The sequence below is a fragment of the Homo sapiens genome, chromosome 19 (assembly GCF_000001405.40).
Source record: "Homo sapiens chromosome 19, GRCh38.p14 Primary Assembly".
NCBI classification, from domain to species: Eukaryota; Metazoa; Chordata; class Mammalia; order Primates; family Hominidae; genus Homo; species Homo sapiens.
Genome location: NC_000019.10, coordinates 19,263,141 through 19,281,680, shown reverse-complemented (window position 1 = coordinate 19,281,680; position 18,540 = coordinate 19,263,141). Strand labels below are relative to the sequence as shown.

The 18,540-nt window shown below is 56.8% G+C and overlaps 2 protein-coding genes across 3 annotated transcripts in view, besides 1 other annotated feature; both read left to right on the top strand.

Moving 5' to 3' along the window:
* Positions 1–5,648, top strand: part of SUGP1 (SURP and G-patch domain containing 1) — a 44,477-nt gene extending 38,829 nt beyond the window's left edge. For both annotated transcript variants that reach the window (NM_172231.4, XM_047439142.1), the window contains 6 exons: positions 1,390–1,496; positions 2,291–2,468; positions 2,885–2,991; positions 3,802–3,947; positions 4,605–4,734; positions 5,007–5,648. In NM_172231.4, coding sequence (NP_757386.2) covers positions 1,390–1,496; positions 2,291–2,468; positions 2,885–2,991; positions 3,802–3,947; positions 4,605–4,734; positions 5,007–5,033 — 695 coding nt within the window. In that variant the 3' untranslated portion in view covers positions 5,034–5,648. The remainder of the gene's footprint in view (positions 1–1,389; positions 1,497–2,290; positions 2,469–2,884; positions 2,992–3,801; positions 3,948–4,604; positions 4,735–5,006) is intronic.
* A 2,731-nt stretch (positions 5,649–8,379) lies between these two features.
* Positions 8,380–17,315, top strand: TM6SF2 (transmembrane 6 superfamily member 2). Its single transcript, NM_001001524.3, has 10 exons — positions 8,380–8,560; positions 10,556–10,659; positions 11,239–11,336; positions 11,405–11,508; positions 11,912–11,994; positions 12,927–13,051; positions 13,594–13,695; positions 13,968–14,060; positions 15,072–15,191; positions 16,808–17,315. Exons 1-10 carry the CDS (start codon positions 8,466–8,468, stop codon positions 17,015–17,017), a joined length of 1,134 nt encoding a protein of 377 aa, NP_001001524.2. The 5' UTR covers positions 8,380–8,465; the 3' UTR covers positions 17,018–17,315.
* Positions 11,434–11,935: an enhancer, noted in NCBI's record as "H3K4me1 hESC enhancer chr19:19380555-19381056 (GRCh37/hg19 assembly coordinates)". NCBI's record gives its function as "activates a minimal SCP1, AML or CMV promoter by ChIP-STARR-seq in naive H9 embryonic stem cells {active_cell/tissue: H9 hESC(naive)}" and the evidence as "EXISTENCE:reporter gene assay evidence [ECO:0000049][PMID:30033119]".
* Positions 17,316–18,540: the final 1,225 nt, after the last annotated feature.

Genomic DNA, 18,540 nt, shown 5'->3' with positions numbered 1-18,540 from the left:
AGGTGCATGGAGGAGTCCGACGTGCCCTGTTGTGTGGCGCCATCACCTGTGTTTGCAAGATGAGGACAGGACCCCAAAAGGGAAGGCGACAGCCTTCCCAGGTCGGGTGGCCAGCCTCTTGGACCTGCTCGTCCAATTCAGGGATGATTGCTTTCTCGGTGCCTCCCTGGCCCCAAGGGCCTCAGAGATTCTAGGTCAAGGAGAAAAGCTACTGAATGAAGATTCTTATGCTTACCAGGGCTGTAGCCAGCAACTGCAGCCAGGGTGGAGGGTACCTAGGATTGGTTTGTCACTCAAGTGCCGAACCCTAGTGCTTAGATCCGGGTGCTTCAATGCGCACACACCCCAGCTCTGAGACACCCAGCAGGTGAAGAAGTCGCCCTGTGGCTTAGTTGGACAGAACAGGCTCCAAAGTCTGAGGCCCAGGTTCAAGTCCCACTGATCCATGTCCTCAGGGAGCATGGCAGCCCTCACCCGCCCGCTCATGTGGTGGAGTGGGCCTGGGGGAAAGGGACTGTGGGCATGCTCTAAGGCAATCAACCAGATGCTCAGACTTCGGCTCCTGCGTCTCCCCAACAGGGCTCCCCCACATCCCTCAGTGCCCTGTAAACCAAGGAAGGACTAAGAGTGCAAATGTGGGCCATTCTTAGCGGCAAAGCCCGAGTGTTGATGAGCTGGAAGGACCCAAATCTTTTCCCTTCCCAGAGGGCCCGCTGCACCCCTTTGCTCACCTTCTCCCCCGGGAAGCACCGCACCGCCCGAGGGGTGGTGGTTTCTGCCACCCGGATGGGGCTGTTGCAGCATCTTTCTATGTGTCAGTGTTACTGGAGCCTGCCAAGTTCCACAGCTGATGCCAAATTAAATGTCAGCTGCTCTGAGGATGGTTGGCTGCCTCCCCTGAAGGAGCTAAGGGAGTCGCACAGCTGAGTCTTACGCCAGACTCTGAATCTGTGCGCGCTTACACCTGGTGTCTGTTAGCAACGGAGCTGCCTTCTGAGAGCCCGTTTGTGCGTGCGCCCATGCATGCTGCCCACATGCCGTCTCAGCTCTCTTGTCTCTGGCTCTGCAAATTCCTGCCCTGTCACTCGTTAGCTGTGTGACCCTGAGTGAGTCCCGGAACCTCTGATTCTTGGTGTCCACATCTGCAATGTGGTGGTGCGTAGAGCCTGGCTGGAGAGGTCACAAGGACGTAAGATGCGGGGGTGCACGTGGCAGCACACAGCGGGACCCCGAGGCCGTCACGTACCACGTGGCACTGACAGTAATGATATGAGGTCCCCGTGTGCCTGGAGTGTCATGAAGGTGTGAGACTCACAGCACACCCCAGCGCAGGAGCGAGATCGGGGTGCACCTGTCAGGCTCTGACTACCCTGTGTCTTTGGTTTCCAGTTCAGGACCTCAAGGGGCTCGGCTATGAGAAGGGGAAGCCTGTGGGTCTAGTGGGCGTCACAGAGCTTTCAGACGCCCAGAAGAAGCAGCTGAAGGAGCAGCAGGAGGTAAGACTGCGGGGACAAGGGGACGGGGACATGGTCGGCGCCCATAGAGTGTTGTCCTCTACCCCCGGGTGCAGCGGTCACAGGGGTTCATGTGCTTCGCCAAGCTCCTGTGTTCAGGTGGAACCCATGGCCAGCGGGGAGGCTTCCAGGCAGGCAGGTCCCCCTGCCCCAGTAGGTGGCATGCCACCCCCCACTGCACCTGAGTGGCCTCTCAGCCTGCCTGGGAGACCACTGGCCCTTGGGGCGGCCCCGGTGGTCTGTGATCCTGGCCTGAGCTTTGTGGCTGCTTCTCGCCGCGCTCCAGGGCTGGTTCCCATGGGAGAGTCTACGTTGATGTTCTTTGTCCGCAGTCCTCTGTCGTGTCTAGTGCAGGACCATCCTGGTCAGCACAGGGCACCCTGAGGGACTTGAGGCCTCCCAGTTGTAGTTGGGCAGTGTCGGTGTTGGCTCCCCTGAGGAGCTGCAGGCGCTTGCCTGTCAGTCCCTGGGGTCAGCTCGCTGTGACCCCTCCTCCAGGCCCGCAGCCCCGTCACATCACCCTTGACCCTCCCAGGGGTCAGGACCCTGAGTCACCCTCATTCAGTGGCCAAGAGGTCCTCCGTGCTCCACACTGGGATTTAGAGAACCCAGGGCAGTACTCAGTACTTGCTAGAGTCCTTGCTCCAGTCCTGCCCAGGGGTCCAGATGAGCCACGTTCCGGCGGGGGATGCCCAGCACTGGAGGCGGGGAGCAGGAGCGGGGCTCCGGCAGGCCACAGCACCGTGCCCTGGCTCACTGGCGAGTGTGCCCTGCAGATGCAGCAGATGTACGACATGATCATGCAGCACAAGCGGGCCATGCAGGACATGCAGCTGCTGTGGGAGAAGGCAGTCCAACAGCACCAGCACGGCTATGACAGTGATGAGGAGGTGGACAGCGAGCTGGGCACCTGGGAGCACCAGCTGCGGCGCATGGAGATGGATAAGACCAGGGGTATGTGGGGCAGCGGGGTGGGCCGGGCTGGGCTGGGCATGGCCCCCCTCACCTGCCCTGGAAGGTTACCTGGATGCGCCACACGTGGTCTTGAGCTGCCATCCTGGTTTAGCCCCCAGCCTGCTTCCTGTGGCTGTGAGGCCTGGAGTGAGAGGCTCAGTCTCTCTGGGGCCTAGTTTTCTCCGTGGTGAAAAGGAGCAGTCCTGACATCGTGAGGGTGGAGAGCTGCACAGGGTTCACTAAATGCTGGGCTGCCTCACCAGGCAGAGGCTCGGGCTGGGGTCATGGCCTAGCCGCCTCCTTCCCTGGGGGCCCCAGGCTCCCACTGAGCCTCATACCTGTGCCCTGGGAGCCACCAGGCCTGCTCCCCTCCTTCCTGCTTCTCCCTCTTCTCACCTTTCTGCTTCTCTGAGCAGAATGGGCCGAGCAGCTGACAAAGATGGGCCGGGGCAAGCACTTCATCGGAGACTTCCTGCCTCCAGACGAGCTGGAAAAGTTTATGGAGACCTTCAAGGCCCTGAAGGTGAGCCAGGAGGGGCCCTAGCTCCAGCCTCTGCCACATGCCAGCCCCTCCTGTAGCTGCCTCACCCTGCAGGTGCCCAAAGTAGCCTGGCTACCCTCTCGATCACAGCAGGAGCCAGGCCTTTTCGCTGCAGGAGGCATCTGTTAATGACAGGCGCCGTCTGTGTAGGGAATTAGCAAACAGCAGCTCAGCTGCTGCCTCAGAAACATTTCCTGGGGCTGCGGGGGAAATTTTGCTTCCAGTGGAGCCAATTAAGTGCAGTTTACAGGCAAAGTGTTTCTCCGGCAGAAGTCCCCACGGACTGGCCTCTCCAGAACCAGAGTTTAACATTCTGCCTCTGCTGCTGTTGGGCTCCTGAGGAGAGAGGGCTGACATGGCACGTCCCCCATTATCTTTTTGAGGTTTTTTTATAAAACTGTTCAGGGCCTGATAACCTCATTAGTGAGGTGGTAACCTCGTTGTCCATCTCTTATTAGTACCTTGTACAACAAATTGCTCTCAGGACATGAACACGGGGCTTCTCTTTGCCAGTGAACCATTGCTTTATCTCAGGTGGATAAGGCCTGTGTAACTCATCCTCTTGCCCTTTTGACTTGGCCACCAGGGGTGCACAGTTTGGCACTAAGGCCCCGGGGACCCTGAGAAGCAGGAGGAGCTTGGTCTGTTTGTTCTCAAGGAGTCTGATCTGGTGAGAGGGAGGCAGATGGGCCACTGGTCCCAGCACTGATTGAAACCAAAGGCAGAAGGTTGGATTTGGGGGCCACCACAGCCCCAGCCCTGGTGGGTGACAGCTACCTCCTCACCTTGCAGGAGGGCCGTGAGCCTGACTACTCAGAGTACAAGGAGTTCAAGCTGACTGTGGAGAACATCGGCTACCAGATGCTGATGAAGATGGGCTGGAAGGAGGGCGAGGGGCTGGGCTCAGAGGGCCAGGGCATCAAGAACCCAGTGAACAAGTGAGTGTGGCCTTGTGGGAGGGCATGGCCATGAACTTGGGGTCTGTGGGTCCCCTGCCGCCTCCCCATTCCCACCCCTTTATGTCATCGCTTTTCCCTTGTGGCAAAATGATCACAGCACCCCACTGCACACCCCTTGTCAGGCACAGGCCTGCAGTGCAGGAGGCCATACGGGCTGGGTCCTCCCCAGTCCCAGGGCCTCCTTCCGTCCCCTCATGAGTATCTCCAGGCCAGATGGGGTGGGTGAGGGTACAGATGGGTCAGGCCTTGTCTGCCTTGTGAAGGGCCTTATTTGAATTCCCCATGAGTGCGAAACCACTCCCAGAGATGGGCAGGAGCTCTCCCAGGTGTGACCCTGGCCCCGAGTGCCCCCTTCAAGGCTGTCCTTGAGTAACCATCCTGCCATCCCAAGAGCTGCGACAACTTGCACTGTGGGCTCCTCCTTCCTGTGTGGGACCCTGGGGCCTAGGCCCCCCCCCCCCGCCCGCCCCGGGGGTCTCCCCTCCTTGACCATTCAGGTTCAAGCTTCTCTCTGTGCAGATATGTCCCAGCCCAGCCCTGCACCCGCGGGAGGTGCTGTTGAGAGCCCAGCTGTGCCCGGCCCCCCGGCCAGAGTTCTGGCCCCAGGTCCCTGCTCACATCCTCTTCTCCCTGTAGGGGCACCACCACAGTGGACGGCGCTGGCTTCGGCATTGACCGGCCGGCGGAGCTCTCCAAGGAGGACGACGAGTATGAGGCGTTCCGCAAGAGGATGATGCTGGCCTACCGCTTCCGGCCCAACCCCCTGGTACGCATGTCCTCCTGGGCTGCCTTTGCTCAGTCGACAGGAGAGGGTGGTGGTAGGAACAGAAGGCTCCCTTCCTTCCTCAGTCCAGCCAGGCTGGGTCTCACCAGCGAGCCCCCTACCACCCACCTGCATTCAAGCCCCCACCCGTCCCCCAAGCCTGCCCTGCCACCTCAAGGGTGCGGGCTCAGCTGCCTCCGGAAGGTTCCAGACAGGAGGAACTGCTGTCTTTAGTGCTAATCCCCTCCTCCTGTTATCTGTTTTGCCTTCCACAGAACAATCCCAGACGGCCTTACTACTGAGTGTTCTGGAAATACATACTTTCTGAATGACCAACCGTCCCTGGACTGTGGAATGTTCCGGCCTGCATTTCTGCCCACCCCTTCCGTTGTCACGAGTGCCGTGCCGTGTAATAAAGTCCCAGTGCTCATCCACCACAGATGCCTGGTCCTGTTGCAGGAAGCCCCTCCTGTTAGCAGCGGGATGCAAGATGCTGTCTCGGGGCTCTCCTTATTGGCCTGTGGAGTCTCCATCCCCGCTCAGCCTGGGTTGCACTGGAGGGGAGGAAGAAAGTTGTTTTCAGCATAGTAAAGCTGGAAGGCCAGGTGCAGTGTCTCACCCCTGTCATCCCAGCACTTTGAGAGGCCAAGGCGGGCGGATCACTGGAGGTCAGGAGTTTAAGACCAGCCTGGCCAACATGGTGAAATCCTGTCTCTACTAAAAATATAAAATTAGCTGGGCATGGTGGTGCACACCTGTCGTCTCAGCTACTCGGGAGGCAGAGGCAGGAGAATGGCTTGAACCTGGGAAGCGGTTGCAGTGAGCCAAGATTGCGCCTTTGCACTCCAGCCTGGGCAAGAGAGCAAGACTCTGTCTCAAATAATAATAATAATAATAAAGCTGGAGACTTGGCCACACCTGGGCTAAAGGAATGTCAGGAACCTCCGAGCCTAGCACTGTGCTGCAGAGGGAGGTTGGGGAGGGGTCTCCAGGCAGGGCCCCACCTTCCCTCAGACCTGTGGGGGCAGGTGGCTTCTGGGCACACCCATGTGCTCTCCTGGCAGGTGGTGCTGGCACGGCCCAGCACACAGGTGTTGGCTGTGGCCCTTCAGGTCCCACCAGTGTGGTAGGCACACGAGTCCCTGGGGCTTGTGTCGTTAGGGGACAGCCGCATGGATGCATGGATGTGCCATGCCAACATGTCAGGCAGCTCCTAGAAGGAAGGGCCTCAGAGCCGGAGGTTTTGAGGCAGGAGGGTAGCCCAGGCCACAGTGTGTGCCAAGACCCCCACATCTGCCCCAGGGCCAGAGCCCCACATTTGTGCCTAAGTCACCCTGGGGATCTTGTTAAGCTGCAGCTGCCGAGTCAGCTGGTTGGGCAGGGCCCTGGGAATTTGCATTTCCATCTGCCCCCACCCCCTCCACACACACCCAGTGGGTGCTGCCCAGCCCCTGCAGGCACCAGGGGCTCCCTATTCACATGCTTGGCATGGAGTCGGGCTCCTGGGCCAGCTTGTGTTCACACAGCCATTCAGCAAACACTAGGTGCCAAGTGTGGGGACCAGGTGGACAAGATCTACTCCAGTCAGCCAGGCTGCTGGGGATGAGGTCTGAGGCTGCTACTGAGAGGAACCAGGGAGCCGTGGTGGGGCGGTCTGCAGAGTGTCTCAGTGGGGTCTGAGACCAGGGAGGTGCCAGATGCAGTGGCAGAGCCAAGGCTGGGGTGATATACCACCCTTTGTTCTTTCCTGACGCTGTGGCTGAGGCAGAGCAAAGAGTAACATTGGTGGGCTTGGCCTGGGTGCCCATGAATGAGGGCTGCCCAGAAGGCAGTGGGCCAGGACCCTGAGCACAGCGGGGTAGTTCTCTGCAGCCAGTGGTTCAGGGAATCCTGGCACTGGGTCCCAGGCATTCAGCCATCCAAGTCACTTCTCAGTTCTCAGCAACCTGGAGGCTCACCAGGCTCAGGGCATGGACTTTACCCCTTGCCAGGGGACGAGGCCTCCAAGTGCTGTGTGCGTGTGCAGGTGCATCCTGTACACGGGACAAGGCCAAGCCCCTAGGCTGAGCTGGGCACAGGCACCCTGGCCTTGTGTGGAGAAGGTGGGGTGGGGGTGGCAGGCAGGGCTGCCTGGAGGAGGGGATGCTGGGGCCCGCTTACAAGAAGGCTCATTTTACAGACAGAAAGCAGGCCTGGGGGGTGTTGACCCTGCTAGAGTTGGGGAAAGTCCAGGGGAACCTGAACTTCACCCATGGGCAGTGGACACCTGGGGAAGGAGGCTGAGTCAGACCTGCGGCCAGAAGACCCTCTTGTGGCCCAGTTCAGGAAGACCTGTGACCCAGTTGGCATCAAGCTAAGGGGCTGCGTGCAGAATGGGGCCTGAGGTAGGGGCAGTGGTTAGAATTTGTGCCAGCTGCAGACTGGGGTCCCGCAGGGCAGGCGTCAGGTGGGCATGGTTCACCTTGCTGTCTGCAGCATCCACAAGTACTCCACATGGGCCAGAGTCTGGTTGGAGGGGGTGACAAAGACAGATGGTCTCCTTATTCTCCCCCCCAATACTGTGGCCCCCTCCCAGCTGTTCAAAACCTCCCACAGCCTCTCACAGCTGTCTCGCTTCTCATCACACCCCAGCAGAACCGACCTCCTTTCCACTGCTCAGTTCCAAGCCTGAGCCACTTTCCTCCCTGCCAGGAACACCGTTCCCAAACTCTTCACCAAACTGGCTCCATCCCGATATTCTAACTTCAGCCCCCACCCGCTAGGACCCCTTCTACCCTCTCCCCGAAATGAAGAACCCTAAACCCGGGACTAGCCTGCAAAGGGACAGCCCCGGAGTCAAAGCCTCACACTTAAAGACCCCTCGCAGTGGCTCACGCCTGTAATCCCAGCTCCTCGGGAGGCTGATGTGGGAGGATCTGTTGAGCCCAGGAGTTTGAAACCAGTCTGGGCAAAAAAGTGAGACCTCTGTCTTTACAAAAAATAACTAGCTGCGCGTGGTGGTGCATACCTGTAGTCCCAACTACTTGGGAGGCTGAGGTAGGAGGATCTCTTGAGGCTGGGAGTTCAAGGAGGAGGGCCACTGCACTCCAGTCTGGGCCACAGAGTGAGACCTCTCAAAAAACAAACAAAAAAACTTCACACCTGCCTGGAAACACGTTTACATTTGTGGCCACCTTATGAAAACTCAAATCTAAGCCCACTGAAAGGCATTTTGCACCCAAGAGCTGGAGGTTGCTCCATCCGTGCGCACAGGGAATGCCGACTTGATCTTTGGGTGGGGATGGGAAACTCTGGGGAATGCAGAGGTTTAGAAGCGCAGAGTCCAGGAGAAAATTTCCTTAGAACGAAGTTGTGGAGGCAGGGGAAAGAGGGGGCACGCCAGGACCTCCAGGGCGCACCCCTTGGCCTAAGAGCAGAAGCATCCCGAGGTGTTGTGTCCCAGCCTTTGACAGTGAGGGAAACTGAGGCTGAGTAGCGGGACGGCCATTGGAGACGAGGGTGTCGATGGTGAGGGGCGAAGGGGCGGGGCAGCTGCCAGGGGGAGGGCCGGGGAGGGGCCTTGGAGGCTCCCTGGGAACACGCAGGGCGGTCACGGCGGCCTGCCCAGGGCGCAGCGGGGTCGACCTTTGTGCGGGGCGGGTCCCTGGCAGCCTCGGCCCGGACTCGCCGCCAACGAGGAGCCGAGCGCCCTGGAGAACGCGTCGGGGCTGAGCCGGGGTCCAGCAGCCGCCGCTATGGACATCCCGCCGCTGGCCGGCAAGATCGCGGCGCTGTCGCTGAGCGCCCTCCCGGTGTCCTACGCGCTCAACCACGTCTCGGCGCTCTCGCAGTGCGTGCGGAGAGGGGCCAGGGCGGCCTTGGGGACAGTGGGGGCGGGCGGGGGCGGGGAGGACTGGAGGTGGGCTGGAGGGAGGATGCGCGGTCCGCGGACCTGGCTTCTGCGAGCCCTGCGCCCCAGCTCAGCTCCGACCCGGCAGGATTGGGGTGGGCCAGAAGAACACCCCCCTCTAACCGGAAGTCCCCTTCCCGCCGGGCTGGAGGCTGGGATGCGGCCGCTCCTGGGATGTTTGTGGCCTGGGAAGAAGGAATGATGAGTCCCCACAAGCCAGAGCTTTGGAGGGTTTCTGGGGTTTTCCCAGGGATGCGCCCTGCCTAGGTTCCAAAGTCACCAAGGGTAAAAGTATTGTCCCAGATAAGGCCCCGGGTACCTGACTCCTGCTCACACACACACACACACACACACACACACACACACACCCTACTCCATTGCCTGTCTCAGGCCTGTGACTTTCCTCTTGTTCAGGGCTGGCTAACCATGTCCCTAGACTCAGTTCCCCCTACTGGTTCCCTTTCCTGGTCCCTGTCTCCTAACCCTAGATCCTAGCCCTGTGGGTCCAGCCACCGGATAGTGGGCATCTGCAAGCCCCTCGTACTTCTAAACCCAGCTCAACCCAAGCCATGGGGTGGAGAGAGTCTTAACCATGAGCCTGGCTCCCTGGGTGGGAATACCCATCTCCATCTCCTGGGATCCTGGGTGAGCCAAGTTCCTCTGGGAGCCTCAGTTCCCTCATCAGTGTAATGGGCACGATCCTAGATCTCATCTCATAGTTACGGTTAAGGATTATAAACTGTGTACAAAGATTTGTCTTGGTCTCATCTGAGTACTATAATGTCATTGTTAGATGGGGTCAGGATGGAAATCTTGGGTTCTGAGGGGATCATGAGAAAATAGGGGCCTGGAGAGTGATGGACAGAGTCTTGAGTGTGACCCTGGACAACTGGACAGTACTCCCATCCTCTCTGGGCCTGGATTTGCCCACCTGGGTTGAGGGCTGCCCAGAGACCTGGCTTCTGTTATCTATGCAACTGGTTGACCTGTCTTATCAGGTTGTGGGTGCAGATCAGGGCAGGGGTAGGGTGGAGTTAATAGAGGCATTTGGACTTTAGCTGGGAGGAGCTGGGAGCGTCAGACAATGAAGTCTACAGAACTGAGCACTCGAGACCCTGTGGCTTGGGAGCTGGGCCTGGCCACAGAGGGGCTTGACGTTGTCGAATGACTGAACAGACTGAGTCAAACACATAACAAATGATGGGATAAATGGTAAAGTCAGAAGGGGCAGGCCAGGCGTGGTGGCTCATGCCTGTAATCCTAGCACTTTGGGAGGCCGAGGTGGGCAAATCACCTGAGGTCAGGAGTTCGAGACCAGCCTGGCCAACATGGTGAAACCCCGTCTCTACTAAAAATACAAAAATTAGCCGGGTGTGGTGGTGGGCACCTGTAATCCCAGCTACTTGGGAGGCTGAGGCAGGATAATCGCCTGAACCCAGAAGGCAGAGGTTGCAGTGAGCCAAGATTGCACCACTGCACTCCAGCCTGGGTGTCAGTGCTCTGTCTCAAAAAGAAAGAGAGAGAGAGAGAGAAAGAAAGAAAAAGAAAAAAAGAAAGAAAGAGAAAAGAAAAGAGAAAAAGAAACAGGCTGATGAATATCCCCTCTGTAGCTAGCCCGAGTTAAACAGTGATCCTTTCTGGGGAGTCAGGGAGCGCTTCATGGAGGAAGAACAATGTGGATGGGCCATGAAGGATGAGTAGGAGTTTGCCAAGTGGAAAAGACTTCTGGAAGCGGTTTCCAGAAGGAAGAAACAGCCTGAGCAAGGGCCTGGCACAGGGTGAGAGCAGTTTCAGGGAACAGCATTGATGGATGAACAGACACTTTAGTCTCTTCCCCTGGGGCTTCCAGGAGTCTGCCCCTTCCCCCACCAGGGAGAGTGGGGCGATGCCTCAGCACTGGGCCTGGCCTCCCTGACTTGGCTTCCCTCTCCACAGCCCCCTGTGGGTGGCATTGATGAGCGCCCTAATCCTGGGTCTGCTTTTCGTGGCGGTCTACAGCTTGTCCCATGGCGAGGTCTCCTATGACCCACTCTATGCTGGTGAGTCAGTGGGAAGCTGTGGGGAAGAAGACTGTCCAGGCAAGGGCCTCCACCCTCAGACTTGGGGGCCATTAAGGGGCCTCCTCCATCAGACTGGGGGCCCTTTAAGAGCTCCCATCAGACTGGAGACCTCAAAGAGATTTGAACACTCCCATTAAACTGGGGAACCTCAAAGAGCCTCCCCCTTCAGAGCTGGGGCTCCTAAGAACAGGGACTGCATCTCCTGCATCAGATTAGAAGCTCCTGAAAAAGAGTATACTGCCTCATCACTTTGAGATCTCCTGAGGGCAGGGACGGTGCCTCTCCCATGAGACTGGGGACTCCCAAAGGCAGGCACTGGGCCTCTGAATCAAACCAGGGACTTCTGAGAGCCAGGCTGTGTCTCCTCCATCAGACATGCAGAATGAGGCAGGACTGTGGTCATGCAACCTTTGGGGTTGGGGCAGGGACTGGGCCTGGAGTCCTTGCCTGGAATAATCTCATCCCTGACCTTAACTTCAAGCCCCGCCCACACTAAGCCCTAGCCCCACCCACACGTGTCCCCTCCCACACCTGACCCGGCCCGCCCACTCACTGCAGTCTTCGCTGTCTTCGCCTTCACCTCGGTTGTGGACCTCATCATCGCTCTTCAGGAAGACAGCTATGTGGTGGGCTTCATGGAGTTCTACACCAAGGAGGTACTTGGGGGACGACCAGGGAGCCCCCTACCGCACTGCCCGTCTGAGTCTCCCACCTGCCCCCACAGGGAGAGCCATACCTGCGCACAGCGCACGGAGTCTTCATCTGCTACTGGGATGGCACTGTTCACTACCTCCTCTACCTGGCCATGGCCGGCGCCATCTGCAGAAGGTGCAGGAGGCAGGGAGAGGGTGGCCCCTGACCCTGGGAGAGAAGTTGCATCCTCAGATGGGGTCCCAGGGCAGGGTGGAGCCAGAAGTGTCTGTAGGAGAAATCAGGACGCCTCTCTAGGGCTCCAGCCAGGGGTGGCCAGGAGAAGGTTCCAGGGAACGTCTCAGGTGTAGGTGGTGGCCTAGCATTGCTTACATCCACCCTGTGCCTGGGCAGCCACTTCTGTTCTTGGACAGAGGGTCTCACTGTTATTTCCCCGTTCAACTCCCTGTTGTCCCTTCCATCCTGGGCAAAACTGAAAGGGACCCGGAGCTGGGAAACCCACGGTGGTCTCCAGGCCCTGGCTGGGGCTCTGAGATTACGGAGTGACTACCTGCTGGTCACCCCTCCATCCCCTGCTCAGGAAGAGATACCGGAATTTTGGACTCTACTGGCTGGGTTCCTTCGCCATGAGCATCCTGGTGTTCCTTACAGGAAACATTCTTGGTAAGGACAAGGCTTTGGGAAATCCAGGTTCTCTTGGGCTTGGTCACTGCCCTGCACCTAGAAGCACCCCCATTGGATCCTCCATCCCTTCCCTGATGTCTGCAGAGGCCCCACCTCCCTCTTTGCGTGTCCACAGCCTCAGTCAGCAGCCCACCCCTTTCCGGTCCCTGTTTCCTCTTGGAAGGCGGGAGAACCCAACTCTGCTTCCTCCCCAGGCAATGGTTCCCAGCCCCAGGGGTTTGACCCAGAATGGTCTTGACACAGGAAGGGAATTTTAGGGTGAATCTTGGGGACAGGGTGAAAGCTTCAGGGGTAGGTCTTGGGAGGTAGAGCAGTGAAGGCAGTCTGGGAGGTTGGCATGGCAAAACCTCAGCAAAGGGAACACTCAAGGTGTATTTGTAGGAAGCAAAGAACCCACTGGAAGGTAGGATCCATATTCAGAAGGTAAATTGAGGCAGGCTAGGCTAAGGAGTATGGACATCATCCTGTGGGCACTAGGGAGCCATGGAAGGTGGTGGAGCTTGAATGAGGATGGTATTTCTGAATCAAGATGTCCAGCCAGAGAGGCCACGTGTGGTGGCTCATGCCTGTAATCCTTATGTTGCTCAGGCTGGTCTCCAACTCTCGGCTCAAGCAATCCACCTGCCTCATCAATCACTTGAGCCGTGGAGATCAAGATCAGCCTGGGCAGCATGGTGAAACCCTGCCTATACTAAAAGTACAAAAATTAGCCAGGTATAATCCCAGCTACTCAGGAGGCTGAGACAAGAGAATTGCTTGAACCTGGGAGGCAGAGGTTGCAGTGAGCCAAGATTGCATCACTGCACTCCAGCCTGGGTGACAGAGCAAGACTCTGTCTCAGAACAAACAAACAAACAGATGTCCAGCAGGGTTCTGGCATGGCTGATGCCCTCTCTCCTGCACCATGGAAGGCAAATACAGCTCCGAGATCAGGCCTGCCTTCTTCCTCACCATCCCCTACCTGCTGGTGCCATGCTGGGCTGGCATGAAGGTCTTCAGCCAGCCCCGGGCGCTAACCCGCTGCACCGCCAACATGGTGAGTGCCTTACCCCTCTTAGGCCTTGTCCCAATGTGCCTGAACTTTCCCCGTGTCAGTTGCTTTTGGTCAAAGACTTAATTTCTGTGGAAGGTTCTCCTTTGTCACAAGAAAGAAGGGAGGGCTGGGTGCGGTGGCTCATGCCTGTAATCCCAACATTTTGGGAGGCCAAGGCATGAGGATCGCTTGAGCCCAGGAATTGGAGACCAGCCTGGGCAACACAGCCAGATTTTTTAACTCTACAAAAAGTTAAAAAATTAGCCAGATGTGGTGGTGCATGCCTGTGGTCCCAGCTATTCGGGAGGCTGAGGTGGGAGGATCACTTGAGCCCAGGAGATTAAGGCTGCAGTGAGCTGAGACTGTGCTGCTTCACTCAAGCCTGGGCAACAGAATGAGACCCTGTCTCAAAAAAAAAAAAAAAGAAAAAAGAAAAAAAAGAAAAAAAGAAAGAAGGGAGGAGCCTTAGGAACCTTTATTGAGTACCTACTGAATACTTGTCATTGACTACCTCTCATGCTGTCTGTTTCTCTCCCCTGGGCCAGGTGCAAGAGGAACAAAGAAAGGGACTCCTGCAGCGTCCGGCTGACCTGGCCCTTGTCATATATCTCATCCTTGCTGGCTTCTTCACTCTGTTCCGGGGCCTGGTGAGTCTGCGCTGGTTGGTCTCCCCCTCCCCTGCCACCAGTCTCCCTTCCCTGACCCACCTCTCCCACACTGCCCTTCCTGTTTGATCATCCAAGGAAGTTCTTCATCAAGTCTAACCTGAGTGTTCCATGACAAAGCCCCATTTCTCCCAGCCAGCCCAACTTGAGCTGGGCTGGGAGAGGCCAGAGCAAGGGGTGTGGGCCTGGGAGGGTGGGGGAGGCTTCCTGTGGGAGGTATGTCTGAGGGTTCTTGGTATGTCTGTCTGCTCCAGGTGGTGCTTGATTGCCCCACAGATGCCTGCTTTGTCTATATCTACCAGTATGAGCCATACCTGCGGGACCCTGTGGCCTACCCTAAGGTGCAGGTGAGAGGGGAGCGGGGAGAAGACCACACCCCTGCCATGGGTAGGGGTCCACTGGGCCTCTTTGAAGCAGGTGCCAGAAGCACAACTCAAACAGGCAGAAGCCCATATGGAATTTACTGTCCTACCAAAAAAGGACAGATGTGGTCTTCAGGTATGGCTGGATCCAGGTGCTCAAGGTGCAGACTCTGGGCTCTTCTTTTCTTTTCTTTTCCTTTCTTTTCTTTCTTTCTTTTTCTTTTTTTTTTTTTTTTTTAAACAGAGTTTTGCTCTTGTGGCCCAGGCTGGAGTGCAATGGCATGATCTCGGCTCACTGCAACCTCCACCTCCTGGGCTCAAGTGATTCTCCTGCCTCAGCCTCCCAAGTAGCTGGGATTACAGGCGTGAGCCACCATACTCAGCTAATTTTGTATTTTTAGTAGATACGGGGTTTTGCCATGTTGGTCAGGCTGGTCTCGAACTCCTGACCTCAAGTGATCCACCCACCTCGGCCTCCCAAAGTGCTGGGATTACAGGCATGAGCCACCATGCCCGGCCTCTGAGCTCTGCTTTCTTTGCATGGCTTCACTCTCAGGCAGTCCCTTTATGGGGTGGCAGAGACAGCCTGTGGCAGCTTCAGGCTTCCATGCACCCCACTCAGCCACCCCAGAGCAATGTGAGCCCTTATTACCCCCGAGCTTAAGCACAAGTCTTAGGCAGGCTCAGATTGGCCCAGCGTGAATCACTTGCCCATCCCTTACTGAGCATCATGGACAGGGGGCTGGAATGCTCCGACTGGCTAGGCCAGGGTCGCATGCCACTTTCAGAGAAAGGTTAGTAGGTTTGGTGTATGTGTTCGGGGGTTGGGGGCAAGGATCCCCAAGGGAAATAGAGGAGCACTTTGCAGAGAGCCTGGGTGGGGTCTGAGGCCATCCAGATCCTTCCTCAGGGCCTCCACCTCAGGGGTCTCAGGAGACCCACCTGGGGTAGCTGCTCATCTCACAGGCTGGTGCCCCTCTCCTCCCGCCCCTGCAGATGCTGATGTACATGTTTTATGTCCTGCCTTTCTGCGGCCTGGCTGCCTATGCTCTCACCTTCCCTGGTTGCTCCTGGCTTCCAGACTGGGCCTTGGTGTTTGCTGGAGGCATCGGCCAGGTGAGGTGGCGGATGGGTGGGTGAGCAGGCATGTGGGAGGGAATTTCTGTCTACTCATCAATGCCTTTGGTGTCCTCCCTGGGCACTGTAATGATGAGCCCCCAAGAGGCCCCAGCCCCAGGCCCAATATCCCAGGATTCCCTAGTCTAGGGGAGACAAAGCCAGATACAGACACTCCAAGCCCCATGAAAATAGGGACAGGGGCTGTGAAGGATTCCAGAGGGGAAAGGTTTCCTAGAAGCAAGGCATAGGAGCTAGGCTTTGATGTACGAGGATGAGTTCTCCAGGCAGGGAAGGGCATTCCAGGAATGGGAACAGCACAAGGAGAAGCACAGAGGGAGAGAGTGACTTAGCAGGGCCATAACCCAGGTAAAGGCAGATAAGAGAAATTGGCAGCTGGATGCTGAAGGCTTTGAACTCTGGGACTAGGGGCTTGTACTGAGGGTGATGGGGCGTTTGAGGAGGAGTTTGAGCAGTGAGGGGCCCAGTCAGAGCTAGGAGCCTTTTTCTGGGTTCCTGATGAAAAGTGCTAAATCCTGGGCCCCGGCCAGGGAAGTAGGGACCAGGAAAACATTTAGAATCCACAGGATTTGTGCCAAGACCTCTGGGGTGGGGAAGACTGGGAGGAGGATCTGGAGCCAGGTCAGAGAGAGATGGGGTGCAGGGCCCAGGAGATGGGGTTAGGCAAGTTGGGGGGGACTCACAGACAAGTGGACAAGCACAGGGAGGGACAGACAGGACATGTAAGGGCAGGAATCTTTACAGACAGAAGGCCAGGTGAGGTGGCTCACACCTGTAATCCCAGCATTTTGGGAGGCCGAGGTGGGAGGGCTGCTTGAGCCCAGGAGTCTGAGACCAGCCTAGGCAACATGGCAAAAACCTGTCTCTACAAAAAGTACAAAAATTAGCTGGGCATGGTAGCACGTGCCTGCTGTGCTAGCTACTCGGGAGGCTGAGATTGGAGGATCACTTGAGCCCAGGAGGTTGGGGCTGCAGTGAGCCATGATTGTGCCACTGCACTCCAGCCTGGCCAACAGAGCAAGACCCTATCTCTAAATAGATAGATAGATAGATGGATGGATGGATAGATAGATAGATAGATAGATAGATAGATAGATAGATAGATAGAAATTTTAAAAATAGGCCAGGCATGGTGGCTTATGCCTGTAATCCTAGCACTTTGGGAGGCCAAGATGGATGGATTGCCTGACCTCAGGAGTTCGAGACCAGCCTGGGCAACATGATGATACCCCATCTCTACTAAAAATACAAAAAATTAACTGGGCATAGAGGTGCACGCCTGTAGTCCCAGCTACTCAGAGGAGGCTGAAGCACGAGAATCACTTGAACCCAGGAGGCAGCGGAGGTTGCAGTGAACCGAGATTGCACCACTGCACTCCAGCATGGGCAACAGAATGAGACTGTGTCTCAAAAAAAAAAAAAAAAAAAAACAGATAGATGGACTGGAGATGGGAAACAGATAGATGAGCAAAGCCCGAGAGGTGGGGATGGGCATCCCCTGGGTTCTGCCTGACCTACCTGGGGGGCTGTCGGTGATGCTGGGATTTCAGTTCCTTCCTGGCCCCTGACATCCATCTTCCCTGTCTGGCTACCAGGCACAGTTCTCGCACATGGGGGCTTCCATGCACCTGCGCACACCCTTCACCTACCGTGTGCCTGAGGACACCTGGGGCTGCTTCTTCGTGTGCAATCTGCTGTATGCGCTGGGCCCCCACCTGCTGGCCTACCGTTGCCTTCAGTGGCCCGCATTCTTCCACCAGCCACCACCCTCCGACCCCCTAGCCCTCCACAAGAAGCAGCATTGAGAGAGCTGTGGACTCAGGACCCAGGACTCTGTTTACGTGCCCAGTCAGCCCTACCTGGGGAAGCGGGGGTTGGGTGTTTTAGAGACAGGAGGGACATCTCCGGGTGTCTTTAGTCTTGGCTATGGTAGTTTCAGTCCAGTGGGTGGGATGGAGACCAACGACCAAGTGTTCCTGCAAGGAGAGCCTCCCACAGCTGTCACCATGCTCCAACTCCCACACAAACGCTTCTACCCCTTCCAGAACTTACCCATCATCCCCCCATGGATCCTTTCAGTAAAAACCCTTTCAATTTCCAAAATATCACTGCCTAAGTGTTTCAGGGTGCAGGGGCAAGGGATCCTCTTCTTGGCCCCCATGAGGGCCCACCTATCACTGCCATCGTGGTTGCCAGGAGTGAGAGGTGCTGGGATAGCAGAAGGCGGCCTCTGGTTGGTATGCACGGCTCATCTTCCAGATGGGAAAACCGAGGCTCAGTATGGACAAGAGACCTGCCCAAGGTCATGGCCAGAGAGAAAAGTTCCTGCTCTACCAATAAATCATAACTAATAGCATGATACATTTATTAAGCACCTACTGTATACCTTGACTGCTACATGCTGGATCTCACTCCATATTCCAGATGGGGAAACCAAGGCTGCAGGAGGTGAAGGTCCTGGTCTGAGATCATTCCCCCGCTCAGTCCCCAAGGCATGGCTGAGCTAAGAGATGGAGCCCCAGCCTGTTGGACCACAGAAACCACAACTCTGCCTCTCCTATCTGGTCGGGTTGGGCTCATTTTAGGGGAAACTGAGTCCTGGAAGGAAGCCAAGGTGTTAGGAGAAAGACTCACTGTTTGCTATTGTTTGATTTTTTGAAATTGGGTGAAAGGCCAGGTTTAGGGGCGACTTGGGCCTGGAGTAAGTCAGGGACCTTGACCAGATGTCCCTTTTCCTTTTCTTTCTTTCTTTTTCTTTTTCTTTTTTTTTTTTTTTTTTGAGACGGAGTTTTCACTCTTGTTGCCCCGGCTGATATGCAATGGCACGATCTTGGCTCACCACAACCTCCACCTCCTGGGTTCAAGCAATTCTCCTGCCTCAGCCCCCTGAGTAGCTGGGATTACAGGCATGTGCCACCACACCTGGCTAATTTTGTATTTTTAGTAGAGACAGAGTTTCTCCATGTTGGTCAGGTTGGCCTCGCACTCCTGACCTCAGGTGATCCTCCCATCTTGGCCTCACAAAGTGCTGGGATTACAGACGTGAGCCACCGCGCCCGGCCTAGATGTCCCTTTTTCTTGCCCCTCCCAACCCCTACCGGAGATCTACTGTATGTCTAGCTACTGGATCTTCACCAAAGAGTCAGCAGCAGGCTCAGAGAGGCCAACTGTCTCCTCCAAGGTCTCACAGCCAGTGAGGGGCAGACTTGAATTGGGGCCTGTGGCTCCAGTCCACAGCAGAGTGTGACTATCGTGAGGCCCCCACCCTGCACAGGGAGCGCCTTTGGGGTGCTGGAGACCAGGACTCCACTATGACTACCCAATGGAC

Excerpts from the sequence above, each read along its gene's own strand:
- TM6SF2 (NM_001001524.3), top strand. The coding sequence starts at position 8,466 with ATGGACATCCCGCCGCTGGCCGGCAAGATCGCGGCGCTGTCGCTGAGC. Across the intron at positions 13,052-13,593 it reads CCCGCTGCACCGCCAACATG|GTGCAAGAGGAACAAAGAAA; the intron begins GTGAGTGCCTTA and ends CCCCTGGGCCAG. Across the intron at positions 15,192-16,807 it reads TTGCTGGAGGCATCGGCCAG|GCACAGTTCTCGCACATGGG; the intron begins GTGAGGTGGCGG and ends TCTGGCTACCAG.